We start from the raw sequence: 11,806 nt of genomic DNA, 5'->3' as shown, positions 1-11,806 counted from the left end.
GTGCACCCTTTTGTGTGTGTGTGTGTGTGTGTGTGTGTGTGTGTGTGTGTGTAAGCCACTGCAGGCTGTGCTCCACTAAAATGCAACGTAGGGAACAGGGGATGCAGCACAGGAGGGAGGTGAGGAAATTCACAAGGTGACAATGAGGGAAAATCCCAGGATAATAGGGCTAGAGAGTACCCTTGCAGGCTGGTACAGGTAGACAGAGCTCCAGGAGGTGAATACCAGAGGGAATAAAAAGGAACTAATAGAGGGCTGGGTGCAGTGGCTCATGCCTGTAATCCCAGTACTTTTGGGAGGCCAAGGTGGGCAGATTGCTTGAGACCAGGAGTTCAAGACCAGCCTAGCCAACATGGCGAAACCTCATCTCTACTAAAAATACAAAAATTAGCCTGGCATGGTGGCAGGCACCTATAATCCCAGCTACGTGGGAGGCTGAGGCACGAGAATCGCTTGAACCTGGGATGGGGTGGTTGCAGTGAGCCAAGATTGCACCATTGCACTCCAGCCTGGGTGACAGAGGAAGACTCTGTCTCAACCAAAAAAAAAAAAAAAGGAACTAATAGAGGAGGAGGAGGAAGATCCTCTGTCTCTTCCCTTTCTCTTCTCTGGGCTATTAATAGCAACTTCCATCCTTCCAAAAGTGTTGGAAAGAGTAACTGTGACCTTTCTCTCAGCCCACTTGCCCACTCCCTCCCTCTTCCCCAGGGAAGATGGTGAGTATTGATTGGTGATGCTGGGAAAGGCCTCAGCATGTGAGGTGCCTCTCTTCCCTCTGGAGAGGCTTGTTTTCTGCACAACACAGCCTTGCCTGCCTGTGGTCGGATCCCAGAGCACGCTCCGCCTCTTTGGAGGGGCCGCCCGCAATTCCAAGAGGAGGTCTAACGCAAGGAGTGGGCCGTGGTCAAAGATGCTTGGCTACCAACTAAGTTCTGTCCTCCATGCCCCTTTATCTAACAATGTGGATATTTTATCTCAATTTATCCGATTCCTGCATTGCTTTTGAATGCAGAGGGGAATTTAAACACAGCAGATTATCTGATTCGTTTGTATGAACAACTTGGATTGAAGGGCTGTTGGAGGATGTGCTGCATACAAAGCAAAGTAAGTGAAAAACCAAGATAAATATTAACTGTGGGGAGAGGGAGGGTAGGAAATTGTACAAACAATGAAATTAAAGCACAGTAAGTCGACAGCCTTAGCATTCCTTTACTCTAAAAGGTTTACCTACAGCCGCCTATGCACCAGGCAGGTTCCCAGGCCCTGGGAGACCTAACAGTAAACAAAGTCCCTGCCCTCAATAAATATATAATTGATATTCAAGTCAATAAGTATATAATATAATGTCAGGATGTGTGTGTGTGTGTGTGTGTGACATCTGTGAAGAGAAGTAAAGCTGAGTAAATGGATGGCAGTGAGGATATTATTTTAGATAGGAGAGCAGGAAGTTCTCGCTAATCAGGTGACATTTTAGCAGAGTCGGGAATGAAATAAGGAAGCAGACAGGAAATGTCAGGAAGGCGAGCACTCTGATGGAGAGAAGGGCAAGTGCAAAGATCCTCGGGTAGGAGTGTTCTCAGGTCTGAGGAGCCAGGGAGGCCAGTGATGCTGGAGACGAGTGAGTGAGAGGGAAACAGCTGGAGGTGAGGGAGACAGGGAGCCAGAAGCCAGATCCTAGAGTGGTTTTTAAGACATGGCAAAGACTGAAATGATTCGTAATCACAATAAACTATACACCAAATATTTATTTAACTAAAATATGTGATCAGAGGATGGAGGTTGTGCAAAAACATCAAATCCTCACCCACCAATAACAGAAAACCAACAGATATTACCTAAAATTGGTAAATGAAGAAATATACGAGTGAGCACATTATTTGGAAATGTGGAGATAAGAACCAGAAGAAATAGCTAGAAGAGTTGCCTCTGCAGAGGAGCCTGGCTGGGTAGGCAAGGAGTGGGGAAGGAGACTTGTTTATTGTTGGAAGTCTTTTATTGTAATTGAATTTTCAAACTACATGCTATATTGCTTTGACTAAACAAAAAATCAAAACAGGCCAGGCGTGGTGGCTCACGCCTGTAATCTCAGCACATTGTGAGGCCAAGAAGGGAGGATCACTTGAGCCTAGGAGTTTGAGACAAGCCAGGGCAACATAGTGAGACCTTGTCTCTACAAAAAATCAAAAAAATTAGCCAGGCATGGTGGCATGTGCCTATGGTGCTAGCTACTTGGGAGGCTGAGCCATGAGGATTGCTTGAGCCTGAGAGGTCAAGATTGCAGTAAGCCGTGATCATGCCACTGCACTCCAGGCTGGGCAACAGAATGAGACCCTGTCTCAAAAAAAAAAAAAAAAAAAAAAGCCAGGCACAGTGGCTTACACCTGTAATCCCAGCACTTTGGGAGGCCAAGGCAGGTGGATCACTTGAAGTCAGGAGTTTGAGACCAGCCTAACCAACATGGCAAAACCCTGTCTCTATTTAAAATACAAAAAATTAGCTGGGCATGGTAGCATGCATGTGTAATCCCAGCTACTCGGGAGGCTGAGGCAGGAGAATCGCTTGAACCCAGGAGGCAGGGTTTGCAGTGAGCCAAAATGCCACCACTACACTCCAGTCTGGGTGACAGAGTAAGACTCTGTCTTAAAAAAAAAAAAAAAAAGAACAAAAACCGGAGCCAAAAACCACCCTAAAGACTGAGGAGTGACTTTCCATGTCTTAGGTCCACAGGCAGTGGCAGAGATGACCTCCTTCTATTACGTTGAAATCTGCTCCCTCGAATTTTCACCCATTGGCCTAGTTCATCTATTTGGAAAGACCCTGATAAGGCTGCTCCCTCTTTCCCATGAGGGCCATTGGATATTTGAGGGCGGTTCTCTCAGGAAACAGATCTCCTGAGACTGCCAGCTCCTCTGCCTCTTTCTCCCAAGACAAGGTTTCCACACAGAACCAACTCAGCGATAAGCAGTGGCTGCAGATGGGGCAGCCAGGCCATGATAAGGGATGGGACAAGGGTTTGAACTTCAGCCCCAAAGCCACCGAGGCCTTCCTGCTCTCCTTCACAGCACGGTGCCCCACGTTTAGCAGGAGGAATCCTCAGAGGGGCCCTTGTATTCACGGAGCACTCACTGCACTCTAGTTTGCGTGCTAGAGGCTTTATATGCATTATCTCACTTAATCCTCAAAAACAACCCTGTGTGTTTAATGCCATTGAACTATCCACTTAAAATAGTTAAGAAGGTACATTATCCAACCCTGGCAACAGTGAGACCCTGTTGCCACAAAAAATTTTTAAAATTGGCCGGGTGTGGTAGCACTTACCTGTAATCCCAGGTACTCGGGAGGCTGAGGCAGGAGGATGGCTTGAGCCTGAGAGGTCGAGGCTGCAGTGAGCTGTGATCACGCCGCTGCACTCCAGTCTGGGCAACAGAATGAGACCCTGTCTCAAAATTAAAAAATAAAAAAGAGGCCAGGTGTGGCGGCTCATGCCTGTAATCCCAGCACTTTGGGAGGCCAAGGCGGACAGATCACCTGAGGCCAGGATTTTGAGACCAGCCTGGCCAACATGGCGGAACCCCGTCTCAACTAAAAATACAAAAATTAGCTAAGCATGGTGGCGCATGCCTATAATCCCAGCTACCTGGGAGGCTGAGGCAAGAGAACTGCTTGAACCTGGGAGGCGGAGGTTGCAGTGAGCCGAGATCACACCACAGCATTCCAGCCTGGGCCACAGAGCGAGAACCCGTCTCAAAAAAATAAAAATAAATAAATAAATAAGAGAAGGTATATTTTGTGTTATATGTATTTTACCACACTTTAAAACCAAAGCCACAGCCTTGTGTGGAAGGTATTGTCCCCATTTTTGAGAAGAGGAAACAAAGGCTCAGAGACGTTAACTCGCCCGAGCTACCCAGCTAGTCAGTGGGTGTCTGAGCCAGGTGTGAACTCAGGTTTGCCTGGCTTCAGAGCTAATGGCTTTCTGCGCTGTTGAGATGTCCCAGGTAATAAGGTAAATGCTCAATGAAACTGAAGGAATCAGCTATGGGCAGGGATTGTGATCTTTCTTTAGAGTCTCACCATGTTGCCCACTGCCAGCTTGGCCCTCCTCCCTGGAATAGTGAACAACTGCCCTGAAAGAGGCGACCCATCAGCCCGTTTCTCACCCACGAAGCCCACGTCAATGAGGGCCATGAAGTTGCAGCAGAAATCGAGCCCAGGTGATCGTGCAGCTCTGAGGCTTCTTCAGTACTTCCCAGGACATTTCCTTCCCTTGATTTCAGGCTCTGAATCAGCTTAATTTTTAGATGATGCAAATTGAATTCTTTCTCAGCAGGAGCTGGGGGAAATGACACCTGACAGAGGGCAGACAGAGCAGCAGCCGATCATCTAACCCAGCTGCAAGTGCTGGAGCCGGGGTGGGGGCGGGGAGGCGGGGGGATGACGCAGGAGGACAAGTGGAGGTGTGAGGAATCATTATAATAATAAAGCAGGCAAACACGTTTCTACAGTGGGCCGGGTGGCAGGCACTGTTCTGAGCACTTTATATGTATTAATTCACTTAATTCTCATAACCGTGCTATGAGGTACTTGTTATTGTCAATTAGCTAAAGGGTACAGAGTTTGAAAAGATCATTTGGCCATGTGTGGTGGCTCATGTCTGTAATCCCAGCACTTTGAGAGGCTGAAGAGGGAGGATTGCTTGAGCTCAGGAGTTTGAGACCAGCCTGGGCAATGTAGGGAGACACCATCTCTACCAAAAATTAAACAAAATTAGTCAGGCATGGTGACACGCACCTGTGGTCCCAGCTACTCAGAAGGCTGAGGCAGGAGGAGTGCTTGATCCTGGGAGATCGAGGCTGCAGTGAGCCACTATCATGCTACTGTACTCCAGCCTGGGCAACATAGCAAGACTGTCTCAAAAAAATAAAAATAAGATAATTCAAAGTACTGAATTATTCTATATTTTTACAAAAAGTATTGTTTATAATACACAAAAACTAAAAACCACCTAAATGTTCAACACCAGGGAATATTAAAGCCATGGAATTAAGGCAGACAAAAAGAATAAATAATCATAATAACCATGATTTACTGGGTGCTGCCCATGTCCATGCATGCTTTACATACACTATCTCGTCTTTACAAGGACCTCATAAGGGAGGTCTTAGTAGGAGACCATTGTGCAGGTCCGGAGACTGAGGCTTAGAAGCTTTCGAAGGCTAGCTAGGGTAGATTTGAAACCCAGCCCCATCTAACTTCAGGACCCAAGCTCTTACGTGCTATGTCACCTATGTCACCCTGCCTCTGAAGACTAGAAGGCAAAAGGCATTGCACAAAACTGCTACCGACCAGGATGGCAACCACATAAAACTTGAGGCCATGAGAAAATGCCAGTGACGACTGTGATATGTGATCTAGGTACAGGGTTAATTTGAGTGCAATGAGTGGAAGTTGTTATCTCTGAATACAATTGTCAAAGAAGGCCCAGAACAACACTCTTCCTTGGTTGCACGGGTCACTGTTCCCCTTTAGCTGTCAACATGCTCTCTGCCACTTTGGGCATCTGGTCCTTCATATCCGGGGTTCCAAAAGGGAGAAAGAGAGGTGTCAGAAGGTAGTATTTGTCCTTTCCCAGGCTTCTCTGCACTGACACATTCCTTGTAGAAGTCGTCTGCTAGGGGCAGCTGACTGTGGCCAAGCTGTCTCTGCTGCTTGCACTTCAGATGAGACGCAAGTGTCCTCTCTCCACTTGCATGCCTCCTCTGTCTCCTGGCTGCTGTGTCCTTTGATGCATCTCAGTTGCACAAGGCATCTCAGAGATGAAACGTGGCCCTCTCTTTGACTTTCACTCACCAGAGTTCTGTCAACATCGTGGAGTTTACTGGTGACTTCAGAGGGGAGACAGGAGAGGCTTACATCGCAGCCATACAATGTCAGCCCCTTCAAAGTCCTCTGCCCACTCTCACCAGTCCCAGCCTCTCTCTGCCCCTCTGGCTCTTCTCCGTGTCTCTGGCTCGTCCCTTTTACCACCCCCTTTCTTCTTTATCAGTCTCCTCCCTGGTCAGGAGCAAAACCAGGGACTCTTCCTTTTGCTTCCTGCGAGCTGCTTCTCCTCAGCCACCAGCTACCTGCATTCCCACAAGTCACGCATCTTACCCCAGGAGACATATCAAGGTTCTTTTCTTCAAAGACACGTCTTTTCCTAAAAAGAATTCTAGTAACAACTGTTAACAAAAAATATTAAAAAAAAAAAACTTTTTAATATCCGTGATCATCTTAGGGCAGCTGTCCCAGAAAACAGACAGACAGAGATGTGTGCAGGAGGTTCATTGGGAAACAGCCGCTGTAAGGAGGGAAGGCAGCAAGACTGAACAGAGGGAGGGGTGAGGCTGGGGAGCATTGCAATGAGAGCATTTGCAGGTTCCTTGGAAAGCTCTGCAGCTGGAGTGGCCCTTTGGAGTTATACCACTGAGGCATGGGAGCCAGGCCTTTGTTCACCCCACTCCATACACACATTAACCATGTCAGGCATGGGGTATCAGGCAGCCCACTTGGCTGAGGACAATTCATCAGCAGGAAAACTCCCGGCAGCCGGGGAAATGAGTGCCCCAGTCTTGAAGGCGGATGTGGTTGGCACAGCACAGCACCCACTATGGTCGTAATAGTTTTTAAAAAGTAGGAAATCCCGGCCAGGTGCGGTGGCTTACGCCTATAATTCCAGCACTTTGGGAAGCCGAGGCAGAAGGATCACTTGAAGTCAGGAGTTAAGGACCAGCCTGGCCAACACGGTGAAACCTGTCTCTACTAGAAATGCAAAAATTAGCCGGGCGTGGTGGCACGAGCCTATAATCCCAGCTATTCGGGAGGCTGAGGCAAGAGAATCACTTGAACCTGGGAGGTAGATGTTGCAGTGAGCCAAGATCGCACCACTGCACTCCAGCCTGGGCGACGCAGTAAGACTCAGTCTCAAAATAAATAAATAGGCCGGCCGCGGTGGCTTACGCCTGTAATCCCAGCACTTTGAGAGGCCGAGGCGGGCGGATCACAAGGTCAGGAGATAGAGACCATCCTGGCTAACACGGTGAAACCCCGTCTCTACTAAAAGTACAAAGACAAAATTAGCCGGGCGTGGTGGCAGGCGCCTATAGTCCCAGCTACCTGGGAGGCTGAGCCAGGAGAATGGCGTGAACCCGGGAGGCGGAGCTTGCAGTGAGCCGAGATCGCACCATTGCACTCCAGCCTGGGCGACAGAGGGAGACTCCGTCTCAAAAAAAAAAAAAAAGCTCCTTCCTTCCTCCGTCCCTCCCTCCCTTTCTCTCTCTCTCTCTCTTTCTTTTTTTTCAGACAGGGTCTCATTCAAGCAATTCTCCTATCTCAGCCTCCTAAGTAGCTGGGACTACAGGTGTGTGCCACCACACCCGACTAATTTTTAAAAATTTTTTGTAGAGATGAGGTCTCACTATGTTGCCCAGGCTGATCTCCCACTCCTAAGCTCAAGCAATCCTCTTGCCTCAGCCTCCCAAAGCACTGGGATAACAGATGTGAGCCACTGCCCAGCCAAGATATATTCCTAAGTGACAAAAGCAATTTACAAAACAATATCATCTCATTATCCCACTTTTATATTTTAAAAATATATATACTTGGCCAGGTGAGGTGGCTTATGCCTGTAATCCCAGAACTTTGAAAGGCTGAGGCAGACAGATCACCTGAGGTCAGGAGTTCGAGACCAGCCTGGGCAACGTGGTGAAACCCCTTCTCTACTAAAAATATAAAAATTAACCGGGCATGGTGGTGCATGCCTGTAATCCCAGCTATTTGGGAGGCTGAGGCAGGAGAATTGCTTGAACCCAGGAGGCAGAGGTTGCAGTGAGCCAAGATCGCGCCGCTGCCCTCCAGCGTGGGCGACAGAGTCAGACTCTGTCTCAACAATAAATAAATAAATAAATAAATAAACTTTTAAAATATACATACCATATAGTCTAAAAATATTTAGTCTAAAGTTAATCCTCACCACGTTTGAGTAGAGGAGTATGCCCCCAAAAATGAACAATAAACATTATTTTTATTATAATAATCTGAGAGTAAAACTTTTCTTAAAACAAAAATTCTTAGACAAATGAGAGCAGGTAGCAGATGATCAAATTTAAGGAAAGGAAATGAGTGTCCTTGCCGCCGACTTGAATTTCTCTCCCCATGAATTTTCTGTAAGAAATGGCATTTCTCTCCACTTCCTGCCTTAAATTGCGCTGTAGCCTGTGCAGCTGCTGAGCGGCTGTCTCGTCCTGCTCTGACACAGAGGTGGCTGTGAGTACCTACTGGGTAGGCTGCGGGCTTTGTATGTCACGTGGAAGGAACAGGATGAGTCGGGGTGGCCTCGATTCCACAAAACATGGACAGACTCCCAGGCAGTGGCCACAGCTCAGCATCCTTTTTGAGGCACGAATCCCTGCTGTTCCTCTTCATCAGACCTTGTCATCCTTATTGTGGAAATAATAATACCATTTATTAAGACTTGCCCGCATGCCTGGCAACGTGCCAGCACTTTACACATAGCTCATTTGTCTCTCACAACAATCGCATGAGGTTATATACAATTATCCCTGTTTGATAGACAGGAAACGGGTCTTTGCAGAACTTTGTGAATATACTGTACTAAGAACGACTGACCTGTATACTTTATATGAGTGAATTTTATGGTATGTGAATACTCTCTCAATAAAGCTTTTTTTGTTTAAAAAGACAGAAAGAAAAAACCCACTAAAGTCTGGCTGGGCACAGTGGCTCATGCTTGTAATCCCAGAGCTTCGGGAGGTCGAGGCAGGAGGATTTCTTGAGTCCAAGAATTTGAGACCAGCCTTGGCAACATAGTGAGACCCTGTCTGTATAAAAATTTTAAAAATTAGCCAGACATGGTGGTATGCACCTGTAGTCTTAGCTAGTTGGGAAGCTGAGGCAGGGAGATCGCTTGAGGCCAGGAGGTCAAGGCTGCAGTGAGCCATGATTGCACCACTGCACTCCAGCCTAGATGACAGAGCAAGACCCTGTCTCTGAAAAACAGCAAACAAATAGAAATCCCACAAAATTATGGCCGGGCACGGTGGCTCATGCCTGTAATCCCAGCACTTTGGGAGGCCAAGGCAGGTGGATCACTTGAAGTCAGGAGTTCGAGACCAGCCTGGCCAACATGGTGAAACCCTGTCTCTACTAAAAATACAAAAATTAGCTGGGCATGGTGGCAGGTGCCTGTAATCCCAGCTACTCGGGAGGCTGAGGCAGGAGAATCGCTTGAACCCGGGAGGCAGAGGTTGCAGTGAGCTGAGATTGCACCACTGCACTCCAGCCTGAGCAACAGAGTGAGACTGCGTCCCAAAAACAAAGAAACAAACAAACAAAAATCCCACAAAATTGAAGTCCATAAAGATCACAAGAGCTGCCCAAGGTTACGGTTAGAAAGCCCCAGGATTTTGTTAGTAAGAAGGAGGCAGGGGGTGGACAGCAGGTAGTGTCTGTGATCCCAGTACCTCCCGACAGTGCACTGCACACCCTGGTGCACGGAGTCACTGACAACCTCAGTTCTTGGGGATGGTGAGGGCTCTGGGGTGGGCAAGCCCTTCAGGCAGTCCCTTCCAGCTGTGTAAGAGCATTTGGTCCTCAGAGAGGGGCCCAATCAGTGTGGGGATGGAGAGGAGGTGGTATGAGAGGGAGTGAGGAAAATGGGGACAGCTGGCACTGGAAGCCCCATGCCCCAGCACTAGGTCAGTAGCTGCTGCAAATGGGTTTGGCACAGGTGGAGATGAAGGGGCTGGAGGAAATACTGGGGTGTTAGGGAGCCCAAGTGGGGAGAGTGGGCCGTGAGCAGGCTGGGCTGGAGAAGCAGCACCAGGCTGGGGCCTGGGTGACAGAGCGAGACCCCCATCTCAAAATAAAGAGGTAATTTCAACTGCTGTAAAATTGTGAAGAGTGGGAAAAATTGTGGCTTTTTTGTTGTTGTTGTTTTTTGTTTGTTAGTTTTTTGGGTTTTTTTTTGAGACGGAGTTTCGCTCTTGTTGCCCAGGCTGGAGTGCATAGACGCAATCTCTGCTCACTGCAACCTCCGCCTCTCGGGTTCAAGCGACTCTCCTGTCTCAGGCTCCCGAGTAGCTGGGATTACAGGCACCTGCCACCACGCCTGGCTAATTTTTCTATCTTTAGTAGAGATGGGGTTTCATCATATTGGTCAGGCTGGTCTCAAACTCCTGACCTCAGGTGATCCGCCCGCCTCAGCCTCCCAAAGTGCTGGTATTACAGGCTTGAGCCACCACACCTGGCCGGGGAAAAATTGTTTTTAAATGTTTCTTTCCTATTTAGTCCAAATTGCTCATTGATGGCAGTTATCAAGAACTTGAATAGATCATCATTCAAAAATCTTCACTGGTGATTATTTATAGCCATTTCAAGCATATGAAAAAAGAATGTTTAAAAAAGCCCGTGTCTGTGCTACCTTTGCCATCCTCGCTGCAGAGCAGTGCCTCCTATCAGGCAGCCCCTGGCCACATGTGGCCGCAGAGCATTTGAAATGTGGCTACTCCAAATTGGAAAGTGCTGGGTATGTAAAACGCACACCAGATTTCGAAGACGTAGTAAGAAAGCAAGAATGTAAAATAGCTCATTCATAATTTTATATTGATGACAGGTTGAAGTCATAATAGTGTGGATATATTAGTTTAAATAAAATCCATTATAAAAAAATTTTTAAGTTATGTTCATAGAAGCAAGCTCAGGTTTCTCATTAAAATTTTGAAAATATTTTATTTGGAAAATTTCATACAAATTCAGTATGTAATATGTTCTCTAATTACATTATTTTCATTTTTATAATTCTTTACTCTAAAGAAAACATAATCACTTTTTCCATCAAGCTCCACATAGACGTCCCCAGGTCCCTCCCCCAACCCCTCCAGTTTACTTAAGTGTGTCATTAAAAAATGGACATTTCTTATGAGTGTGATGACATGAAATAGTTTCCAGAAAGGTATTTTTGAGCATCTTTATGATTTGGAAAGGCATTTTTGAGCATCTATTCATCCTGGGTGACCTGCTGGATTGTGGGAATACAGAGTTGTATATATTGTATATTGTGTTGTATGTGTATCAATAATTATGCAGACAGGTGTGGTGGCTCATGCCTGTAATCCCAGCACTTTGGGAGGCTGAGGTGGGCGGATCACTTGAGGTCAGGAGTTTGAGACGAGCCTGGCCAACATGGTGAAACCCCATCTCTACCTAAAAATACAAAAATTAGCTGGGGGTCGTGGCATACGCCTGTAATCTCAGCTACTCAGGAGGCTGAGGCAGGAGAATTGCTTGAACCTGGGAGGCAGAAGTGCAGTGAGTTGAGATCCCGCCACTGCACTCCAGCCTAGGTGACAAAGCGAGACTCCATCTCGAAAATATATATATGCAAGGGAACTCTTGGTTGTTCCACTAAGGAGCTCCCAGCAACCTGCTCTGTGCGCTGCAGAATTTGTGGGTATCCCTGGGAGGCCTGGACCAGCCACAGAGCAGCAGCAGGCCAGGAGGTGTCAGTCTTAACAGAGTGACTTCTAGGAGAGGCAGGGCCCTTTGCTTTTTTTGAGATTGTATTTAAGTAGGGCCCTTTTCTGGCTCCTTATTGAATGTTTCCACTCTACTGGATTTTCTCTCTATTGTCCCGTAAACTCCCGAAGGCCTTGCTCAGCTACCAACATCTGTTTCGGGTTTCCTATAATCCATATGCCTGAGGCAAGGCGTGTCCAGAAAGCAGAGGCTGTGCTACCCGGGTGCTTGT

The 11,806-nt window shown here is 47.3% G+C and overlaps 1 annotated feature.

Annotated features, from left to right (window-relative positions):
• Positions 272-772: an enhancer, noted in NCBI's record as "H3K4me1 hESC enhancer chr7:129201761-129202261 (GRCh37/hg19 assembly coordinates)". NCBI's record gives its function as "activates a minimal SCP1, AML or CMV promoter by ChIP-STARR-seq in primed H9 embryonic stem cells {active_cell/tissue: H9 hESC(primed)}" and the evidence as "EXISTENCE:reporter gene assay evidence [ECO:0000049][PMID:30033119]".

The sequence above is a fragment of the Homo sapiens genome, chromosome 7 (assembly GCF_000001405.40).
Source record: "Homo sapiens chromosome 7, GRCh38.p14 Primary Assembly".
NCBI classification, from domain to species: domain Eukaryota; kingdom Metazoa; phylum Chordata; class Mammalia; order Primates; family Hominidae; genus Homo; species Homo sapiens.
The sequence above is the reverse complement of the archived record's forward strand: the minus strand, read 5'-3'. Positions and strand labels throughout refer to the sequence as shown.